The sequence below is a fragment of the Homo sapiens genome, chromosome 12, assembly GCF_000001405.40.
Source record: "Homo sapiens chromosome 12, GRCh38.p14 Primary Assembly".
In the NCBI taxonomy this organism is placed as follows: Eukaryota; Metazoa; Chordata; class Mammalia; order Primates; family Hominidae; genus Homo; species Homo sapiens.
Genome location: NC_000012.12, coordinates 123,042,330 through 123,063,706, shown reverse-complemented (window position 1 = coordinate 123,063,706; position 21,377 = coordinate 123,042,330). Strand labels below are relative to the sequence as shown.

The following is a 21,377-nucleotide window of genomic DNA, read 5'->3' as shown; positions in this document are numbered from 1 at the left end:
GGCTTTTCCTTCCAGACCTGGAGCCTGGTCTCGTGGGGGCTGCTCTTGGCAGCCAGAGCATCCAGTAGGTCTCATCTGCATTCTGACCAGAGAGCCCTGGTGTAGGACAGAGACCCACAAGGGGCTCTGCCTCCAAAGAGAGCCCTGGGGGAGAGGGAGACGCTTCTGGGACTGAAGGGGCCACTTATTTTAGCCCCCTCTTTTAAATATTATGCATTTAAGCAACGTCACAGAACAGAGTCAGCAAGCACTTCCTAAGCACCAGCTGTGTGCCAAGCCCTGGGGGCTCCTGTGTGCCTCTCACCAAGCCCAAGAGGCCTGTTTCACTCAGACTTTGCAGGTGAAGAAATGCAGCCCAGCCAGGGGCGCAGGCCACCTGCCCAAGGCCACCTATCTAAGGCCACCGGCTGGGCAGTGGCAGTGCTGGTACCAGAGCCAGGTCTGCCTGGCATACCTGCCCCTTCTCCACACTGCAGAGATGAGGAAGCTCTCAACCACCAAGCCCTGCCGTGTTCCTCATTCCTGCCTACCCTTGCTTGCCCAGTCACAGGCCTGGAAACACAGGCCTTGCCCTGAGCAGGGGTCAGCGGGCCCTGGGGCAACACAGGTTCCGTCAGCAGAGCTGGGCTCTGCGTCCTTGTGGACCTATGTGCCCGCAGGCCTGTGTTATGAATATATTTATAGGCATTGCTGTTTGTGTGTGTGTGCACATTTGCTTTCGTGTGTGACTCATCTCTTTGGACTGTGTTCCCCAAGGTCACAGGGCCTGGTGAGTTTTAGAGGCAGAGCACATGTCACCCCTCATCTGTCCTGCATTGGTAGTGGGGTGAAGCAGGGGTGATATGCAGTTGGTTCACACAGATATGTGGTGAAAACATTGATGTGCAGATCCACAATTCCTTATCCTCAATTCCAAAATCCAGCACACTGAAAACCAGACACTTTTTTGTAACTCATTTGGCAGCAAAATTTTTCCTGAACTGAGGTGAGGCTATTTATAGTCCAAGTGAGGCTATTTATAGTCTTTATGTATTCTATATTCATGTCTTTCACTGCAGAGAGTTCAATGTATTTGTTTATTGGATGCTGCTGAGATATGCAGCTTTACCTGTCTAAAGTTCAGGATATTCTGAAATCCTAGATACATCTAGCCCCAAGAGCAAGAGTGCTGTACTTTTTTTTGCTGGTAAATAGCCTCTGCCCCTGCCCCGTCCCCCTTATTGTCCCTTCCCTGGGATTTCTGGAGCTAAGTGGGCAATGCTGTCCACAGGCACCTCCAGGATTCCCCCAGCCCCACAGCCAGCAGCAGTGCCCAGGGGTTAGATATTTTTAGTATTCCTGTGGGTGACAGAACACATCTTGGTTGCCAGGCATAGTGTTCTACCCCCTCACTGGACGTATTACCACCTCCCTTTACAGATGAGTAAACCAAGGCTCAGTTGCAAGTATCAGATCTAAGGACGGAGAGATGAGAAGTGCAGGCGCTGGACCCCAAACTTTCCCTTCCACCTGGCTGCCTGTCTGGGAGGGAGTCTGGGGACTCAGGAACCTGTCTCCCTGGATTTGTTGAAATGGGAAGCAGCAAGCATCAGGGTCCCAGGTGCACCGGAGGGGAGCAGACAGATGCAAGCCAGGCTGCTCTACTTGGCAGGGAGAAGGAGGAGGAGGAGCAGGGGCCCCTCAGTTGCTGCAGGGCCTCCCTAGGAACTTACCGCCTACCTCTACACCGTAGTTCCTGCTTCTCAGAGTCCCTTTGTTAGAACACCTGTGCCTTCCTCCGCACCCAACTCCATCTCTTCCCAGCAGCCAGCCCTCATAGCTGCTCCGGCTCTTGGGTCTTTCCTCCAGAACTCTCTGAAGCCACTGGCACATAGGGAGATGGCATAACTTTGTCCAAACTCTGTCGGCAGCTGTTCTTGGGGACCCTGCTAGCAGCCACCTTCTCCTACAACCTTCAGAAGCTCCCTTGGATGCAGGAGCTTTGTCAGGGCCTGAAAGCCCCAGGCTTCCCCCTTTTTCTGACTCCCCAGTGTACAAGTTCTTTCCCATTTCCTGTGAGACGCATCATCTTGTGATGACCAATGACTCCCACCATCCACCACATTGACCCTGGCTCAGAAGCCTTTGGTCTGAGAAGCTTCTTGCCCACTGGGACGCCTCCTATCCACCCTGCCCAAGCCATGCCTGACGTGCCATAGTGCAGTGAGAGGGCCTACTCTTGGACAGTGGAGAGATCTGGGACAGGGTTATGGCTGTAGTGGTTAACCATCCTTGGATTGTAGGCACGTCAGCAGACCTCTCCAGAGCTTGTTTCCTGTTTCCTCATCTGCAGAGTGGGCTTAGGGTTGGCTGCCCTCACAGAGCTGTTGATGAGGATTGGCCTTAGGGCAGGCATCCTGCATAGACCGTGCCTTGTCATGAGCCCTGTTACCCTTCCCCCATTCCACTAGCAGGGTCTTTCTTCCTGTATACCCATTAAGGGGTCAGAAAGTTTCCCAGAGCTGCCGTGAGTGTAAAGAAGTCAACTGTGACCCGTTGTGAAGACCTTTGGGTTTAGAGGCAGAGGCTCTGGGCTCTAGTCCCACCCCTGCCCTATGTAGATGATGGATGGATGCATGGGTGGATGGATGCATGGGTGGATGAATGCATGGGTGGATGGATCAGTGGATGCATGCATGAGTGAATGGCGCGGTAGCTACATGGGTAGATGGATAGGTGGATGCATGGGTGAAGGGATGCATGGGTAGATGCGAGTAGGGATGCATAGGTGGAAGGATGAGTAGATCAACTGTCTGCCCTTTTCTGGGCCTTAATTTTTCCATCTACCCAATGATAGGGTTGGATTGCAAGTTCTTCAGTTTCTGAGGTTTGTGACCCCACCTATGTCAACCTGGCACCCTTAAGGACTGCTGCCCCCTTAGGTGGTGACCTATAAGGAGGACCGTGCCTATACCCAGGGACCCTGGAACCCTCTCTGAGCTCCACCTTCCACCCTGCCTTGGGCCTTCCCAGCTCTGACTTGGTACCCTCCTTGCAGCCTCTGCGCTCCTCATCCCTTTCCAATAGGAGTGCAGTTTTCTTCTGGCTCTTTTGTTGACAGAATCGCTTGTTTATTTGTGGTGGGAGAGTCTGTATATCCTGTGTGCAGTCACTTCCCTCCAGGCCACTCTGCATTCATGCAGGATGAGCTGCTGAGTGAGCATTGGGTGGAAGTGTCAGGCGCTGGGGGCTTGGCAGAGGGACTGTCACAGGGTCAGGGTGGCTTTACTGCCAAGGTGGCTCTTGAGTTAGGTCAGGAGCTAGGTCAACTTAGTAGGTCAGAATTTCCCGGTGGAGGTGGAGACCCAGGTGATGGCACCCAGACGGGCTGGGTCCTCACGGGTGAGGGTGTCAGTTCACCAGCCTGTGCAAAGACTTCCAGTGCCAAGGCAAGGAGCTCAGGGTGCTTTGGTGAATGAAGGTGAATTCTTGAAGGGTTTTAACCAGGAGGTGACCCAGTCAAGTTCCTTCTCCTGCAGTATGCTGGAGCATCTTTGGTTAAAAATAAAAAAATAAAGGTCAACATGGAAAACTCACCCTCGATTTGTGCTCTGAGCCCTTGGGGCCTGGGGGTTGATAAAAAGAGCCAGGATGCTAGCTTGCAGAAAAGGGAGCGCTGCCAGGACTTGGAGAAAAAAAGGAAACTGATACTTGGAGTTCTGCCTGACCTTTCTTTCCTCGTTTCTTTTTAGGTGAAATTCAGTAAGCTTAAACATGTTAAAAGTGCACAATTCGGTGGCATATAGTATGCATACAAGATTGTGCAGCCACCACCTTTATCTAGTTCTAAAACATTTCCATCACCCTGAAAGGAACCCCTGTCCCTTTTAAGCAGTCACTTCCCATTCCTCCCTCCCCACAGCTCCTGGCCACCATCTGTCTGCATCCTAGCTCTATGGATTTGTCTATTCCGGATGTTTCATAGCCACAGAATCAGGCATACACCAGACTCTGGGCCCTTTCTTAGGCTCTGCCTTGTCCCTGCTGTGCTACAAGCTCACCATTTATTTCCTGCTCTATGGCCCTCAAGCCAGTCCTGTGTGCAGCCTGGGTGGAGCTCCCAGCTTCCCACTGTCCAAGAGAGAAGCTCAGATGATATGAAAACAAATCAGTCAAGCTTGTTCTGGGGGAGAAGTGGGCCTCCACCCTTCTGGGGGCATTAGTGGGTGTGTATGGCCAGGTGCTAAAGGGCCAGAAGGTGGTAAAGCTGGGACAGTACTCCTGACTGCAGAGAGTACAGACCGAACCCTGGAAGTGAAGTCACAGAGCCTTGTGGGCATCTGGCTTCCCAGGCAGTTCCTCCCTGACCTTCTCTGGGCCCTCTGCCCCACATCCGAGACCTTTTACCAAATTCAGGCTATGTAGCTCAGTGCTGCTACGGAAAGGGGCAGGGGCTGAGCCACACAGGAGGTGGCTGGTTGACTCACTGCTCTCCAGATGGCCCTTGGAAGAGCCCCCAGAAAAGGTCCCATGCTTGTGAGCTCCTCCTCTCTGACTGGAAACACATGGGCTCTTCAGCCTGTGATATCCTTGGTTGGCCTTCTCCCTGCCTGGTTCTCTCCCTGCCTAGATGCTGACCTCTGCCCCCACAGCTGTGCCTCTCCTAAGTACTTATGGAGATCTGTAGAGCACCTCGCTGTGGGCTTGGCCCTGAAGATGCAGAAATGAAGCAGATGCGGGTGCTGCCCTGAGCTTCATGGTTTGGGCCCAGACAATGGGAATGGGGTGTGGTGGGAGCTGGGGCTGAGGTGCTCTCAATGCACCTGGGCACTCAGCTTTGCCCAGAGTAGTCTCGGAGGGCTTCTCAGAGTGAGTGCTGTGTAAGCTGATTCTTAATAGACACTTCGAGAATTTTCCAGGTGGACCCCGTGGGAAAGGGCTTTTTCCACAAAAGAACCAGCAGGGGTTGAGCACTTGAGCAAATGCCTCAGGCAACAGTTACCAGCTTCTACAGCGCTTGGGGCCTTGAGCAAATGCCTCAGGCAACAGTTACCAGCTTCTGCAGTGCTTGGGGCCGAGGTGTAAGAGGCAGGTGCTGCTCTTGAGGGCTTTGGAGCTGAGGACCGCAAACAGGGAACAACAAGAATGACAGCAGGGAACAGCAGGTGAATGGTGGAGTGAGAGAGGCCCTGGAGAGGCTGTGGGTGGGGCATGATGGCTTCCAGTGACATTCTGGGGAGCTGGCAAACATGGTTGCATCTGCATTGGGAAGATGTCCTCTAATGGTTTCTAGAAGGAGGATTTCAGAGGAACCAAACTGGAAACATAGAGGCCAATTAGAAGGCTGTCTCTGACACCCAGGGAGTGCTGGTGAGGGCCAGAATCAAAAGGGATGGAGGCAGAAGGCAAATTAGAGGGAGACATAGCAGGTGTTCTTCCCATGGCTCAGCCATGGGTGACTTGGAATTCTTGGGGAGGGGACCCCATGGTGGCATTGGAGACGGAGACCTGGTATACACCCTGACCACCTCCCTGGCAGCCCTACAACCTTGGCTGAATTGTCTGATCTCACCTGGCCTTGGTTTATCCTTCCGACAAAATGCCCAAAAAGAAGAAGTGAAGAACGTGGGTTCGTAAGTACTTTGAAGAGTAAAAGGTCAGGGGATGAAGGCATAGTTTGTTTTTTGCTGCCTAGTGGCCCAGAGAGGAGGTAGCACCTGTCAGGTGTACAGGAGGGGTCCCTGGGACTTGGGGCCCAGCTGGCACGGAGGGTCACATTCCAACCTCTGGATCCCTTGGATCTGCAAAAGGGTTCCAGTTCCCCTCTCCAACTCTGAGAGCAGCTGCACCTGATTCCCCCAGGGCCTTAGCTGTACCTCCTCCTCTGTGGTTAATAATTCAGGACAAGCCAGATGGCTCTGCTTTCCCCCTCCTTCTTTCCCATAGCCTCCTAGGGCTTGTTCCTCAACTAGGGGTGGGCGTCGCGGTGGGGAGCCCAGGAGGCTCAGCCGCTTGTAACTCAGATGAACCGTCACCACCAGAGCCTACAGCCTCTATGTGCCCTGGGGCTTCAGGTTCTGGCCGGGCGCCCCAGCTTTGGTGTCCATAGGCCCATTGCCTGGGGAAGTGGAGAGAGCACTTAGAAACCACAGGTCCTGCCTCCCGCCCAGCTCTGATTTCAGATGCGGTCTTGTCTACGGCACTTTGTAAATACTTGTAGGGTGAGGAGACCAATGGTACCATTTGCACCCTCAGAGACATTCTTTCCTTAGTTCTTCTGAATGTTCCTGTTAGGAAGAAGTTCTTTTTGTTTGTTTTTGAATTTAAATTTTTTTTTTTTTTTTTTTGAGATAGAGTTTTGCTCTTGTTGCCCAGGCTGGAGTGCAATGGTGTGATCTCGGCTCACCGCAACTTCTGCCTCCCGGGTTCAAGCGATTCTCCTGCCTCAGCCTCCCGAGTAGTTGGGATTACAGGCATGTGCCACCATGCCTAGCTAATTTTGTATTTTTAGTAGAGACGGGGTTTCTCCGTGTTGGTCAGGCTGGTCTTGAACTCCCAACCTCAGGTGATCCACCCGCCTCGGCCTCTCAAAGTGCTGGGATTGCAGGCGTGAACCACCACGCCTGGCCTGAATTTAGATTTTTAACCTGAAGTTGCCCTGAAGATATGCTCCCCGGTTAGGAAGGAATTCTCACACACACTCAGACGCGCTTTTCTCTTTCACATTTGGGATCCGAGGCTTCTGAGTACTCTGACTTGTCCAAGGCTGAGCAGCAGATCGGTGGCCTCTACTCCCAGTTCACACCTGCTTGGTTCCCATTCAAGGCCAGGGGCTAGACCTCAGTGAACTGCCACCTCCTGGGTCTGCAAAGTCCTGCAGGGACCTGCAGGTTGTCCCCATTCTCTGTGATTCTTAGCACCCATCTTGATAGGATCTTGGGCACAGGACCCCTGATTGGGCTGGGTATGGAGAGAGCCAGGCCCTGAGGCTATCCCAGCCCCTGGCCTGGGGCATCCCGGGAGAGGACAGGGACAGTGTCCAGTGTCACCCAGTGCAGGGAGAGACTTTCTTTGTCAACCCAGGAGGGCTTGTTAGAAGAAGAGGGCCGGGCAGCTCAGCTCTTTCCCTCTTCGTGTCCGGCAGCAGGAGGCCACTCCTGGGTCTGGGCCTCCTGGAGTTGGCAAGAGCTGCTGACTGAGAACCTGACCCAGGCCCATGAAGGCAGTGTCCAAGGTGAGCCAGCACAGTGGCCGTCCACATACCTGTATGCTAAGGTGAAGCCACCGCAGTGAGAAGCTGGTGCAGAACATTTTGGGGCAGCTCTAAATAGAAAAGGATTTTGTCTCCCGGGCAACGTGGACATGAGACATAAGCCTACACGCCTCCATGTAGGCTCCCAGACTGCCTGAAAGCTCCGGCTAAGTTCTCCAGAGCGCTCAGGTGATAGCTCTTCTTCTCAGACGAGTACTCTGAGGCCACTGTCATGCCAGACATGTAAGTGGCCAAGCTTGGCCTGACGCTGCAGTCACTTTCCACTGACCTGCAGCTGTGACTCATCACCACTGCCTTGACCTCAGGGCCAGAGCCTGGAACTCAAGCTGCAGGGCTCCTAAGAGTGAACTCAAGGAAGCCCAACTGGGCTTGGGACTGGGCAGTGTTCTAGGATCCAGGTGGAGCAGAGGTGAGATTAACACCACAGGAAAGAACCCCAGGGAGAGGCAGAGGCAGGACATTGGCTGGTGGAGTATGAACACATCATAAAAAGGTGCCACTCTATTTCTTTTCGTCGTGCTTTCACTAACATCTTGCAAGTGTGTGTGTGTGTGTGTGTGTGTCTTCAAACTATGATATTAGTATATTGGGGATGCTTTTATGGAGGGGGCTTGTGGGGAGTCACCGTTCCCTCTGCCCTGTTTGCTTCTGCTGGGGAAGGGAGCAAGATGTGGGTGGCTTAAGAGAGCCTGGCAAGAAGAAGAATTCTCACCCAGAATCTGTTGAAAGGATCTGGTTTTGAAGCTGAATGGAAGATCCCATAGCCTGAGCTACCCTCACAGTGGTCCAGAAACATGTGAATCTGAGCCAAGTCTACTGATGTGTGATTAATTTACAAATAGGCGTGCAGAGCAGAACGGTGTGTACACAGGAGCCTGCTGTTCCTACAAAGCTGCATCAAGATGTCACTGAGTTGGGTTTTATTTTAGTTCCAAGTATTGTATCTGTTTAGCACCCAGCCAGCTTGGTGCCGTGTGCACGCTGGGCAGGCTGAGCTGGTGGCGTATACTGCTTCCTTAGACGGGAGAAGCCTTTGAGGTAGTTCCAGGCCCCACGTGCTGGGCCCAGAGCAACTCCTCAGATTCACAGAAAGAGCTCATATTTCATGGGTGGTCATTTGGCAGAAAGAGTCTGCACATGATGAAAGGGTGGCACGTTGGGAACACTGGACTTTATGTCGAGCTGCATCTGCCCTTTTCTCCAACCAGCTGCAGCGTCTTTCTCCTGACCAGATTCACACCACGTCTTCTGTGGACTCAGAGGACAGACTTCGAGACTTCAGAACCATCATACAAAGAGAAAACACCTTAACTTATTTGGAGTTTTCAACCATTTTTTGACCTTGGAGTAAAGTAAAATGTACCTTTTCTTTTCTTTTCTTTTCTTTTTTTTGAGACTGAGTTTTGCTCTCTCGCCCAGGCTGGAGTGCTGTGGTGTGATCTCAGCCCACTTCAGCCTCTGCTCCCGGATTCAAGTGATTCTCCTGCCTCAGCCTCCTGAATAGCTGGAACTACAAGCGTATCCCACCATGCCGGGCTAATTTTTGTATTTTTAGTAGAGATGGGTTTTCACTGTGTTGTCTAGGCTGATCTTAAACTCCTGACCTCAGGTGATCCTGTCGCCTTGGCCTCCCAAAGTGCTGGGATTACAGGCATGAGCCACCATACCTCAGCATAAATGTATCTTTCTGCCCTTCAGGAGGAAAGGGTTTGCTCAGCAAGTGAATAACATGCAGAAGGTCAAAGCAAGATGTATCATCCTACTCTTAGTCAGGACCTTTCTGAGTGCAACAGAAATCCAGTTTGAACTCAGGCAAAAAGGAGACCTAATTGGAATGTTCATGTTCACCATCCGTGGAAGGACAGCAACTGCTGGAGCCCAGGATTCTCTTGGACTGCATGGAAGAGGACACAGCTGCCGACAGCTTCCCTGCCTTTGCCACCAGTAAAGGATTGACCCACATTCTCTCTTTGACCCCAAGTTTAAAAAAGAAAATCCCTGGGAAGTGTAAGCAGGAGTGAGATCATGGCTGCAGATTGAGGACATGCTCCAAATCCCTAAATCTGATAGAACAAATATTATTAAAAACCCATATCCATGCAGGCAAACAAATGCCTTTAGGGGCTAAGAAATCATGCAGAATCCTGAAAAGGTGTAGTGAAAATGGGATTCAACTGAAAAAGGAAACAATAGCCAAGATTGTACCCAGGAGGTAGAAAGGTTTCTAGGTGTGGATCGCTCGAGCCCAAGAGTGTGAGGCTGCAGTGAGCTATGACTGCGCCATACACTCCAGTCTGGGTGACAGAGTGTAAGACCCTGTCCCTAGGATAAAAATAAAAATAAAAAATTATAAATAAATAAATTGATGATATAGCAAGTGAAAAATGACAGATATGGAGTGAATAATGTAGAGTTTTAAAAATCCAGGATAGGTGTTTTATTATACACACAAACCTACATAAGTGATAAAATTATATGGAACTTAATACATGCACACACTGCACACACAAATAAATACAAGTAAAACTGGCAAATCTGACTGAAGTCTATAGAGTGTATCAATGTCAATATCCTGATAGTAATATTGTAGTTTTGTAAGATGTCACTGCCTGTAATCCCAGCACTTTGGGAGGCTGAGGCGGGCAGATCACCTGAGGTCAGGAGCTCGAGACCAACCTGACCAATATGCAGAAACCCCATCTCTACTAAAAAATACAAAATTAGCCGGGCGTGGTGGCACATGCCTGTAATCCTAGCTACTCAGGAGGCCGAGGCAGGAGAATCACTTGAACCCAGGAGGTGGAGGTTTTGGTGAGCCGAGATCACGCCATTGCACTCCAGGCTGGGCAACAAGGGCAAAACTCCGTCTCAAAAAAAAAAAAAAAAAAAAAAGATGTCACCATTGGGGGACACTGGACAAAGTATACAAGGGATCTCTTTGTGTTATTGCTTACAGCCACATGTGAATTTACAATTATCAATAAAAATTTCAATAGAAAAATCTCTTGAGAGTAACAGATTAGTTACAAAAATCTAAATAACTGTTAGTTTAAATGGGGATGTCAAAATGAAAATTTTAAGCGACTGTGTTTGAACTAAACGGCAGTAAGAACACTGGATGTAAAAACCTATGGGATGAAGCCAAATCAGTACTCAAAGGAAAATATATAGCCCTAAATTAATTTATTCAGAGACAAGTCAAGTTAAAAATTATTGAACCCAGCTTTCAATTCAAGAAGCTAGAAAAATAAATTCAGAGGGTTTAAAAAGGGCCAGGCAAGGTGGCTTACACCTGTAATCCCAGCACTTTGGGAGGCTGAGGTAGGAGGATTCCTTGAGGCCAGGAGTTGGAGACCAGCCCTTGCAACATAGGGAGACCCTGTCTCTACAAAAAATAAAAAATTAGCCAGGTGTGGTGTGGTGGTGCACACCTGTAGTCCTAGCTACTTGGGAGGCTGAAGGGGGAGGGTTGCTTGAATTCAGGAGGTTGAGGCTGCTGTGAGCTGTGATGGTGACATTGTACCCCAGCTGGGGTGCAGAGTTAAAAAATAAATAATATAAAAATAAATGTTACAACTCTTTTACAAGGAACCCTGTTACCAAAATCAAAGGAGAACTCAGTAACTCAACAAAACTACAGGCTGGTTTCACTTAAAAAAAAAAAAAAAAACTTAAATAAAATATTAGCAAATTTCATTCAACTGAATATATTATTACAGCATGACCAAATAGGATTTATTCCAAGAATGGAAGGGAGATTCAAGAGTAGAAAAGAATTTTCATCTAATTTATTATATTGGCTGTTTTAAAATTTTATTTTATTTTGTTATTGATTGAGACAAGGCTCTTGCTCTGTCGCTGTAGCTGGAGTGCAGTTGTGTGATCATGGCTCATGTAGCCTTGATATCCTGGGTTCAAATGAGCTTCCAACCTCAGCTTCCCAAGTAGCTAGGATTACAGGCTTGCGCCACCATGCCCAGCTAATTTTTTAAATTTTCTGTAGAGATGAGGTCTCCCTGTGTTGCTCAGGCTGATCTTAAACTCCTGACCTCAAGAAATCCACCAGCCTTACTGACACCTTCATTTCAGACTTCTGGCCTCCAGAACTGTAAGAGAATAAATTTATTTTGTTTAAAGCCACACTCAGTTTGTGGCACTTTGTGATGGTTGCCCTAGGAAACAAACAAACCCGCTGTCTATTCCGGGGTAAGAATAGAATGGAAAAACTAGGCCAGGCACCATGGCTCACACTGTAATTCCAGCACTTTGGGAGGTCGAGGCAGGCAGATCATCTGAGGTCAGGAGTTCAAGACCAGCCTGGCCAACATGGTGAAACCGGGTCTCTACTAAAAATACAAAAAAAAAAAAAAAAAAAAACAATAAAATTAACCGGGCATGGTGGTATGTGCCTGTAATCTCAACTACCCGGGAGGCTGAGGCAGGAGACTTGCTTGAATCCAGGAGGCAGAGGTTGCAATGAGCCGAGATGGCGCCACGGCACTCCAGCATGGGCAACAGAGTGAGACTGTCTCAAAAAAAAAAAAAGAATAGAATGGAAAAACGAGAAAGATGAACTTACATGACCTGCTGGTTCCCACTAACCTCTACCTGAGAATTTAGAGTGATCGCAGATGGGTGTTAACTCAGGCATTTGCTGGAGCAAATATAGCCCTCTCTGGAAAAACAGACCCTCATCCTAAGCCTCAAAAGAATTTCTACAAATATCTTCCACAGAAAGTGAGCAGTTCTTAGTCAAAAATAACTGAGTAGAAGAAGAGATAAAGCACTAAGAGCCAGAGCCAGCACGAACAATTTACAGCAGAAACAGACTCTGGAGACTTCAGATGCTGCAATATTTAAGCATAGCCAATAAAATAACTGTTCAGTGCATTTAAATAAATAAAAGGCAAAGTTGAGAATATGTGCAGAGAATTAAAAGCTCTAAAGAATGATGAAGCAGATTTGAACAACGAAACAGAACTTTAAGTCAAACGTGGAGAAATCCAGAATACAACACTGGAAGAAAAGGAAGCTGCAGAGAGAATAAGACACATACGTGGAGAAAGTCTAACATTTATCTAATTAGAGAGCCAGAAAGAGGAGAGAAATAGAACAAAGTCTACGTAAGTGGGATTCAGCCCTTAAAAGGTGGCTAATACTTCTCTCTAGTCCTGGGCTTAGTGCTTGATTTCAGCCCAGCCAGTCAAGTGGCTCACGAAATAGATGCCAAACCCTTTGCCTTGACTCCTCCCCAACCTTGGTCATTTCCTCCTGCAAGAGGGGTATCAATGAGAAGTTTCTGAGAACTGAGAGGCCTAGGACAAGGTGTCAGCGAGGGGTGGGCCTTGAGGATATTGAAGACATTGCGCAAAATCATGCAAGGTCCTTTCCCTGCACTTCCTAACTCAAGGGAGTGTCATTCATATTGTAGTACATGAGAATGGCATCGCTTGGAGTTGGACAGTGCATAGCCTGTGCAACTGAATGCAGCAACCCAGCTATCTCTGATGCCTTTTCTGCCCAAGTTATGTGCCCATGGGGCTTTCCAAATTTGACCAGTGGTTTTTTTCCTTTGTGTTTCGTTTCTTCCCTGTTTCCCTCCCTGGAGAAGGATGAGATCTGTCATCGGCTGGAGGATTTTATGGCATGATGAAGGGAAGCTAATAGCTCTGTAAAGAAGAGCCAGTTACCTGGGAAACTTTCCAGGCATGTTGTGTTTCTGGCAGCCCTGGGAGGCTGGACTGTAAAGGCCACACCGCTCACAATGCTGTGGAGCAAGGCCTGGGTGAAGTTGTACAGACACGTGAATGTGCCTGTCCTCACATCCCCTAAGGACACTGGCTGGGCCTTTCGTTGTCCTCTAGGTCCTCTGGCTCTGCCTGCTTGCTCCCTTCTGAGTTAAGCATTTGGACCTGGTTATTGGTGACCTAAGACGCCTGGGTTTCCTGCTCACCTAAGAGTACAGTAGATCAGTCCTGGGTCACAGCCCAGGAGATACAGAGTCTGGTACCATTCTGCCCTGACTCACTGTATGGCCTTGTCAAATGACTCAGTCCCTCTGGGCTTTTGTGTTCCCATCTTGCCCTGACTGCTTCTGAGCATTGAGTTTCCAGCGAGATTGTTGTGGCAGAGTGTTTATAAACTGAGCTGCACTGAGTGTGTCTGAGAGGAGGTGGTAGTTATACTAAGGGCATTTGGGCTGCCTGGCATTGCCATATCTCATTCAGGGCCCAGCTTGTCTCTCCCAAACCTGCCCATCAGAAAGGGCTGAGATGACTTCAGATACCCCCACCCCCAGCCCACACCATGGGCAGCAACATCCAGTTGTCCTGTTTGACGTTTATGCCCTGCACATGCTCTTGAGGAGGGCAAGTCTGGCTCCATGAAAAGTCTGAGTCACAGACGCTGTCAAGAAACAGGGACATGGCAGGGAGCGTGCACTATTCTTGGAGAATCTTAGCTGCGCTAAGGAACAGCTAACAGAGCAGTTTGTAATTAGCACTTTGGCTGCTTGGCGGCAGCGTTATCTGCCTGCAGAGGGTTTTTTTGTGAACATTTGCCAATTACCCTTCTTGAGTACCTACTAAGTGCCAGGCCCTGGCTGCCTAGCACCTGCTGTGAATGGAGAGACAAATGAAAGGTGTTATCTTTTTCTCTTTTGTGCAGGCACCATTCTAGGATTATCTACTGGGATTATGGCAACAAATAAGACAGACAAGTTCCCTGCCCTCCTGTCACCTGTGCTGGGATGGAGGGAGGCAGTCTTCAAGTACACAAATCAGATCATTGCAAAGTGTGGCAATGGGACTGAACTGGGCAGGAGAGGAAATCTACACTGTAGAAGGGACAGGGAGGGCATGGCATTTGTGCCCAGACCTGGTTGATGCCAGGGAGTGAGGGAGCAGCTGTTCCCTGGCCTGGGGAATGGGTGCTTCCTGGGCATGGCAGCAGCTGGAATGGAGAGCTAACATAGTGATTTCCTAGCAAAGCAAGCAGCCATGTGGCTGGAGAGTGGCGATGGAGGAGCTATGGCTCACGAGCAGGCAGACAGGGCACACGGGATCTCACAGACCTGGAAGCTGGAAGTAAACTGAGTTGAGGGATGCACAAAGTTCTGCGGGCAACAGACAGGATCGGGAGGAGACAAGGCAGGGTGAAGGGCGTCCTAGGCATGGAACCCTCCTGGACAAGCACGCTTGGGAGCTGCTGTCAGGTCCCTCTGGTTATGGAACCCTCAGGCAGCACCTGGCTTCTCCACTGTGGCTCCTGTCAGAGCTTTTGTAGGAGGGGTGTGTGTGTGTGTGTGTGTGTGTGTGTTTTAGAGACAGGGTCTTGCTCTGTCACCCAGGCTGGAGTGCAGTGGCACAATCATAGCTCGGTGTAGCCTCAAACTCCTGGGCTCAAGAGATCCTCCAGCCTCAGCCTTCTGAGTAGCTGGGACTACAGGTACATGCCACCATGCTGGGCTAGTTTTATTATTTTTTGTAGAAATGGGGTCTCACTATGTTGCCCAGGCTGGTCTCAAACTCCTGGTCTCCAGTGATCCTCCTGTCTCAGCCTCCCAAAATGCTGGGATTATATGCATGAGCCACTGTGCCTGGCCCCATGTTGACCATTTTTAAGCATACAGTTCTGTGACATTAAGGACATTCACACTGTTATATAACCATAACCACCATCCATCTCCAGGACTTTTTCATCTTCCCAAACTAAAACTCTGTCCTCATTAAACACTAACTACCCAGCCGGGCGCGGTGGCTCACGCCTGTAATCCCAGCACTTTGGGAGGCCGAGGCGGGTGGATCATGAGGTCAGGAGATCGAGACCATCCTGGCTAACAAGGTGAAACCCCGTCTCTACTAAAAATACAAAAAATTAGCCGGGCGCGGTGGCGGGCGCCTGTAGTCCCAGCTACTCGGGAGGCTGAGGCAGGAGAATGACGTGAACCGGGGAAGCAGAGCTTGCAGTGAGCCGAGATTGCGCCACTGCAGTCCGCAGTCCGGCCTGGGCGACAGAGCGAGACTCCGTCTCAAAAAAAAAAAACAAAAAAAAAACACTAACTACCCATTCTCCTTTCCCCAAGTCCCTAGCACCCACCATTCTACTTTCTGTCTCTATGAATTTGACTACTTTAGGGACTTCCTGTAAGTGGAATCATGCAGTATTTTTCCTTTTGTGTCTGGTTTATTTCACTTTGCTTAATGTCTTCAGAGTTCATCCATGTTGTAGCATGTGTCAGAATGTCCTTCTTTTTTGAGGCTGAATAATATTTCCCATCAGGTTCCCCCCACCCTTTTTTTCTCATTAGGTTTTGATGACTCATGTGATGTCTGTCTGTCTCTTTTTTTTTTTTTTTGAGATGGAGTCTCACTCTGTTGCCCAGGCTGGAGTACAGTTGTGCAATCTCGGCTCACTGCAACCTCCACCTCCCAGGTTCAAGTGATTGTCCTGCCTCAGCCTCTTGGGTAGCTGGGACTACAAGTGTGCACCACAATGCCTGGCTAATTTTTGTATTTTTAGTAGATACGGGGTTTCACCATGTTGGCCAGGATGGTCTCGATCTTCTGACCTCATGATCTGCCTGCTTCAACCTCCCAAAGTACTGGGATTACAGGCGTGAGCCATTGCACCTGGCCAATTCTGTCTCTTTTTGAGGCTAAATAGTGTTTCCCCTCAGGTTCCCCCCACCCTTTTTTTCTCATTAGGTTTTGATAACTCATGTGATGCCTGTCTCCCCTGGAGCCTGGAGGCTCCCTGAGGCCTGTCTTGGTCCCCTGTATCCTTAGCACCCATCATAGAACCTGGACCCTAAGAGGTGCTTAATGAACATTTGTTAGGTGCATGGAGTTCAGAGTGACTAGAATTCTTACTGAAAGAGGGGGTTGGCATTGGGATGACAATATTAAAGACTTTATTTGCCAGACTGTGGAGCTTTGGCTTCTAGGCAAATGTTTCTGTTGATCTAAGCCACCTAGGGGACTTGTTAAAAATTCTTATTCCCAGGTCTTTCCCTTGGCAATGCAGCTGATTTGGGCTGGAACCAAGACGCCTGTATTTTGAAAGAGATACCAACCTTTATTTCCTAGATCATTTAAGAACATTAGAATAAAAACAAGTAACCACTCTGATAAAGTTTAAGTGGGGCTTTCCCTCAGCCAGAAGGTTTGTACTTCCTACAAAATATTCTGAAAGAAAAAAACAGAAATTGTTTCTCTAAATCATGCATCTTTATTAAAAAGCATTAAAGCAGCTGTTAGCTTGTGTTGTATCCAGAGTCAGGTGCAGCCACCTTTCACGCATCAATACATAGCTTTAGCCTGGAATATACCGCTTAAATTTTGGGGGCTTTCATTTCTTCCAAAAATGGGAGCATTGTTACCTTTTCCACCTTGGGAGATCATTCTGAAGAAGCAAGAATAAAAAGGCTAAAAGAATTTGTAAGTCATAAAATGCTATTATCAATGCTAGGGGTGCATATGTATATAAATTGATTTAAGTATAGAAGATGATGGTTCAATTCTTAAGCTATTTACTATCCTGGCTGTACAGTAAGATACACTTGACTCCATCACTTACTGAGTAATAGGGGCAAGGTACCATAATGACACAAAGCCCTGGGTCTCCTTAGTTATAAAAACGGGGCTAATAGCCTTGCAGCACAATATTATTCAGTCATAAAAAGCAATGAAGTTCTCGCAATGCTACAACATGAACCTCAAAAACATGATGCCAAGTGAAAAAGCCCAGACACAGAAAGCACATATTGTATGACTCCACCAATAGGAAATGTCCAGAATAGGCAAATCCATCAAAACAGAAAGCAGCTTAGTGGGTGCCAGGGGCTGGGGCAACGGGAAGTGACTGCTTAATGAGCTTAATGAGAAATGGGCTTTCTTTTTGGGTGAGGAAAATGTTCTGGAATTAGATAGGGGTGATGGTTGCACAACTCTGTGAGTATACTAAAAACCACTTTAAAGTGGTGAATTACATGGCATGTGAGTTATATCACAATAAAATACTTAAATAAGTGGGGACAATACATCTAACTCGGGGGAGTTGTGAGGATTAAGTCACTTACAATGTATTAATAGGGCCCAAGTGTGTAAAACCATGGGCCAGATTTATAAACCAAGTAGCAAGAAGAAGAGTCTGGTTGCCAAGTGTGCCTGCCAGAGGGTGGGGGCTGTTGGGATGTGGGGTCTGATGAGACCCTGGCACCATTTTCAGGAGGGGGCCATTCACACTGGGAATACCTTCAGGAAAGGCAGGACTGGGCAGACTGTGTATTTTCTCCTACACCCTCCTCCTCACAGGATGCATGAAGGATGAGGGGCCAGGGTCGGGGTGGGGACTAAGTCTCTGACTGTTAGCTGCCCTGGCATCTGTGTCTTTAAGGAGTTGACTGTTGTAATGTGGCAAGTTTGGGAAACCCTGTCTTAGGCGACACAGAGAGCTGTGGGCAATTTCTCTGAGCTAAAGGGCTGTGACACCCTCGCTGGGACACCCAGGGACGGCTGGGTCTGTACCCCACTCAGCCATAGCTATTGCAGAAGGAGTCACGGGGGCTCAGAGTGGTGGGCTGGTGCGCCTTTGGTACCATGAGTAGGGTGGGCTTAAGGAGACAGGACTAGGGACACTGGCTACTGACACTGGCTACTGAGACTCCAGCATGGCGTTTGTGCCTCTCTGGACTTGAGGTTAGCCCCACAGCGCTCCTTGCAGGCTGCACAATACCAGCTGTTGTTTTGGAGCAACAAAAATTCATAATTTGCAGCTGATAACTAACAGGCACCCGAGTAAGTTGGCTGACAGCCTCAGTGCTGGAATCTTGCACATGGTGGGCTCCAAGTGGAAGTTTATTGGGAGGTATGTTGGCCAAGTAAAGAGGAGAACCTTGTCCAGGGAAAAACTCAGTCCCAGCGTTGTGCCCACCTGCTCACAAGCCATGGGGAGGCATCTGCAGCCAACATTCAATCCATTTGTGTTAAATGCAGGAATTAAGGAAAGACTGAATTTGATGAGAATTGTCTGCCGACTTAGCCACATGGAGGTCATTTGTGACCTTGACCAATATGGTCTCAGTGGAGTGGGGGTGGTCAAAGTGGGTTGGAAAGAGATCAGGAGGTGAGACAATGGAAACAGCAAGTATAGCTAAGCTTGAGGAGGATTTGCTATAAAGGGGATCAAAGAAGCGGGATGGTGCCAAGGAGGTAGAGTTGAGGGGGGCTGTGGCATGTTGTTTTGTTTTGGTTTTGCAGATATATGGGAGCTATAACTTGCATGTTTGAATGCTGATGGTGAATGAGGAGGTCCATTAGGGAGACAAGAGAGGGGAGCATTTCGGGAGAAGGTCCCTGAATGACAAGAGGGCATGGGCCCCAGTGACAGAGAGTTGGCCTTCAGTAGGAGCAGAGCCGTCCATGCATTGCAACAGCAGCTAGTGGATTGGTGCAATGGGTTGGTCCATTTGATGATGGGAATTTGAGGAAACAAAGAAGACTGGAGCCAGGCATGGTACACATGCCTGTGGTCCCAGCTACTTAAGGAGGCTGAGGCAGGAAGATCGCTTGAGCCCAGGAGTTGGAGGCTGCAGTGAGCTAAGATCACGCCACTGTGTTCTATCTAGCCTGGGTAAAGAGTGAGACTCCATCTCCAAAAAAATTAATGATAAAAAAGTAACGAAGACTCAAGATGGAGAGAAGGTATAAAATCAGGAGTGGGAAATAGTGAAGGAACTGAATCACTGAAGTAGGACTGCAGGAGCTGTGCCCTCCTGGAGTGTCCTGTCAGAGTTTTGAAGGCTGGCCCAGAGGAGTAAGCACTCAGGGGCCTTTGTATTCTCATTATGTATCTACTCTGTCATCACAAGGGCTTATCACCAGTTCAGGAGTAACCCAGGTGAAAATCTCAGCAGTGCCTCTTATCAACTCTGGTGTCTTGGATGGTTCCGGAAAGCTCTGATTTCCCTGGAGAATTGATTGAGCTGAGTTTTGCTTTGGGACAGGGCCTGCAGCACAGCCAGCTCTCTGCCAACAGGCTCTCAGCCTCTAAGCATCTCAGGGGGCCCTCCCTTCTGCATGCCCCAGAAGCTGAGACCTTTCACCCCTAAAGGACTGGCCATTTCTAAGGCCAGTGGCCTCCTGAAAAGCCCTGGCACTTCTTATGTAGGAGGATGGTCTGGGTGCTGCTGCTGAAATGGTGGTGGCCTCAGGGAGGTGACCAGGAGTGAGAAAGGAAGGCCCCTGAGCAAACCCCAGCCTACGATTTTGTAGCCACAGCTTAGACCCTAACTGCTGGGGCCAAGGTCCCCTCTGGGCTTGTTTCTGTTGTCACATCTAAGCCTCCCGTGGCATTTTGTTTAAGGGCCCAGTCTTATTTCAGCCATACTCAGTGTTAAATTAGGGGAGCACCAACCCTGGAGGCCAGTGTGGTGGTGGTAGTAGCTCTGTGACCAGCAGGGTCCCTAGAGGACCAGGGTAGGAGGTGAGTTCCAAATAATTCTCCTTCATGCCATGCTTATCATCTTGGAGGCTCTGAGTTTCAAGCTTATTTCCTCACATGCACATTTGTGCCCGTTTCCACCCAACTGAGGTTGCCATGCTGATAGCCACAGCCAGGGAGGAGGAGTCATAAAAACAGGGCCCCCTTGCCTTGCCGCAGTCCTTGAGCAGGATGCGCCCTCTCGGAGCCTGCTCTGTGGTCTGTACCACTGCTTCCCTGGGTCTGTTGTTTGGGTTGAGGCATTACATAGCGATGCCTCATAACTTAACTCTAACATCCCACTCCTGCTCCTGGAGCTGCAGAGCACTGCAAGCCCCACGGTGCCCCCAGGTGGCCGCTGTGCTGTGGGATCTGGTGACCAACTCCTGCAGTGGCTTGGCAGTTGCCCCAGCTTGGCACTCCAGGTGTACAATGGTGAGATTTATGACTTTCTGTGGGATTTGGGGTAACTGCCGCAGTGCCCAGGGCTTTAAAGCTCTCTGGGACCCCCTCTTCACTGCCCAGGCCAGCGTTAGAGGAAGGAGTCAGGTCCTGCTTAAAGGTGTCAAGGAATCTGTGGGGGGTGGGGGTAGGAGCTGTGTCCTCCTGCTCAAAGTCTCCTTGGTCCTTGCCCTTCCAGCCTGGCCACCCCTGCCTCATGAACCTGAAGCTCTTTCTGTGTCACTTTTCTCCTCTAATGCCTGGGAGTTTGTGGCTGGGTGGAGGGAGAAGCTGGGAGTCAGGGTCCTGGTTCCCAACCCAGCTCTCTGCCTGCTTCCTGAGCCTTAGTCTCCTCATTTGTAAGGGGAGGGTTGGCCTGCAGCAGGGTCCTCTGCTTGTTTCTTAGCCCAGAAATCCTTTCTTCAAAAGAAATCTCTGCTGGAAGCCCAGTGTCTAACACATAAAGGTGGAACTACTCTGGGGCAGGGATTGGACGATTCTGTGGGTCTGTGACCTCTCCTGCTTTCAGCTCCAGGACACAGAGAGGCAGCTGATCAGTGCTAACCTCATAACACACACCTTCAGAGCAGCCACACACTCCTGCAACCCCAGCCCAGGCATAAGGGGATGGTTGCTGGACAAAGAACAGCCCCTTATCCGTCTGTGCTGCCTCCCATTCATCCAGAGCTTTGGGTCCCTGGATACACATAGATGGTTAGGGGAGGCCTGGGGAGCCTTGTCTGGCTGCATCTGGAGAGGAAGTACTTTTACCATTGCCTGCTTCAGCTCCTGATTGGGAACCAGTAGGTTTGGGAAGCAGAGAGCAGAAGGAAGCTCTCTTAGAGCAAGAGGAGAGGGACTCAAGGGAGGCAGAAGGAGGTTATGGATACCCACAGTCCTGAGTCCCAGGCCCCCAGACCTGCCGGTGGCTCCCTCGCTTCCCACTACTGCAAAAACCGGGGCTCCCGCTGGCTTGGCTTGGAGTAGCTTCCAGACTTAGTAACCAGAATGCAGCTGAACTGCGTTGGGATGGATTCCATCCCCCCTTAACTTTGCACAGCCTCACTAAATTCCATCTGTGACGTCAGACCCCTGCTAATCATGGAAAAACAGATTAAGTTCTATAAACACAATTCTCGTGCTTCCCCTCCCAGTCAGGGTGTCTCATGGCCTCCGCTTAAAGGAGCTGTCCACGTCGCCTCGT

The 21,377-nt window shown here is 49.5% G+C and overlaps 1 protein-coding gene across 29 annotated transcripts in view, besides 2 other annotated features; it reads left to right on the top strand.

Moving 5' to 3' along the window:
- The window catches only part of PITPNM2 (phosphatidylinositol transfer protein membrane associated 2), a 168,369-nt gene that overhangs the window by 88,142 nt on the left and 58,850 nt on the right, over window positions 1-21,377 (top strand). The window lies entirely within an intron of this gene.
- Window positions 4,712-5,213: an enhancer, noted in NCBI's record as "H3K4me1 hESC enhancer chr12:123543041-123543542 (GRCh37/hg19 assembly coordinates)". NCBI's record gives its function as "activates a minimal SCP1, AML or CMV promoter by ChIP-STARR-seq in naive H9 embryonic stem cells {active_cell/tissue: H9 hESC(naive)}" and the evidence as "EXISTENCE:reporter gene assay evidence [ECO:0000049][PMID:30033119]".
- Window positions 19,578-20,157: an enhancer, noted in NCBI's record as "H3K27ac-H3K4me1 hESC enhancer chr12:123528097-123528676 (GRCh37/hg19 assembly coordinates)". NCBI's record gives its function as "activates a minimal SCP1, AML or CMV promoter by ChIP-STARR-seq in primed H9 embryonic stem cells {active_cell/tissue: H9 hESC(primed)}" and the evidence as "EXISTENCE:reporter gene assay evidence [ECO:0000049][PMID:30033119]".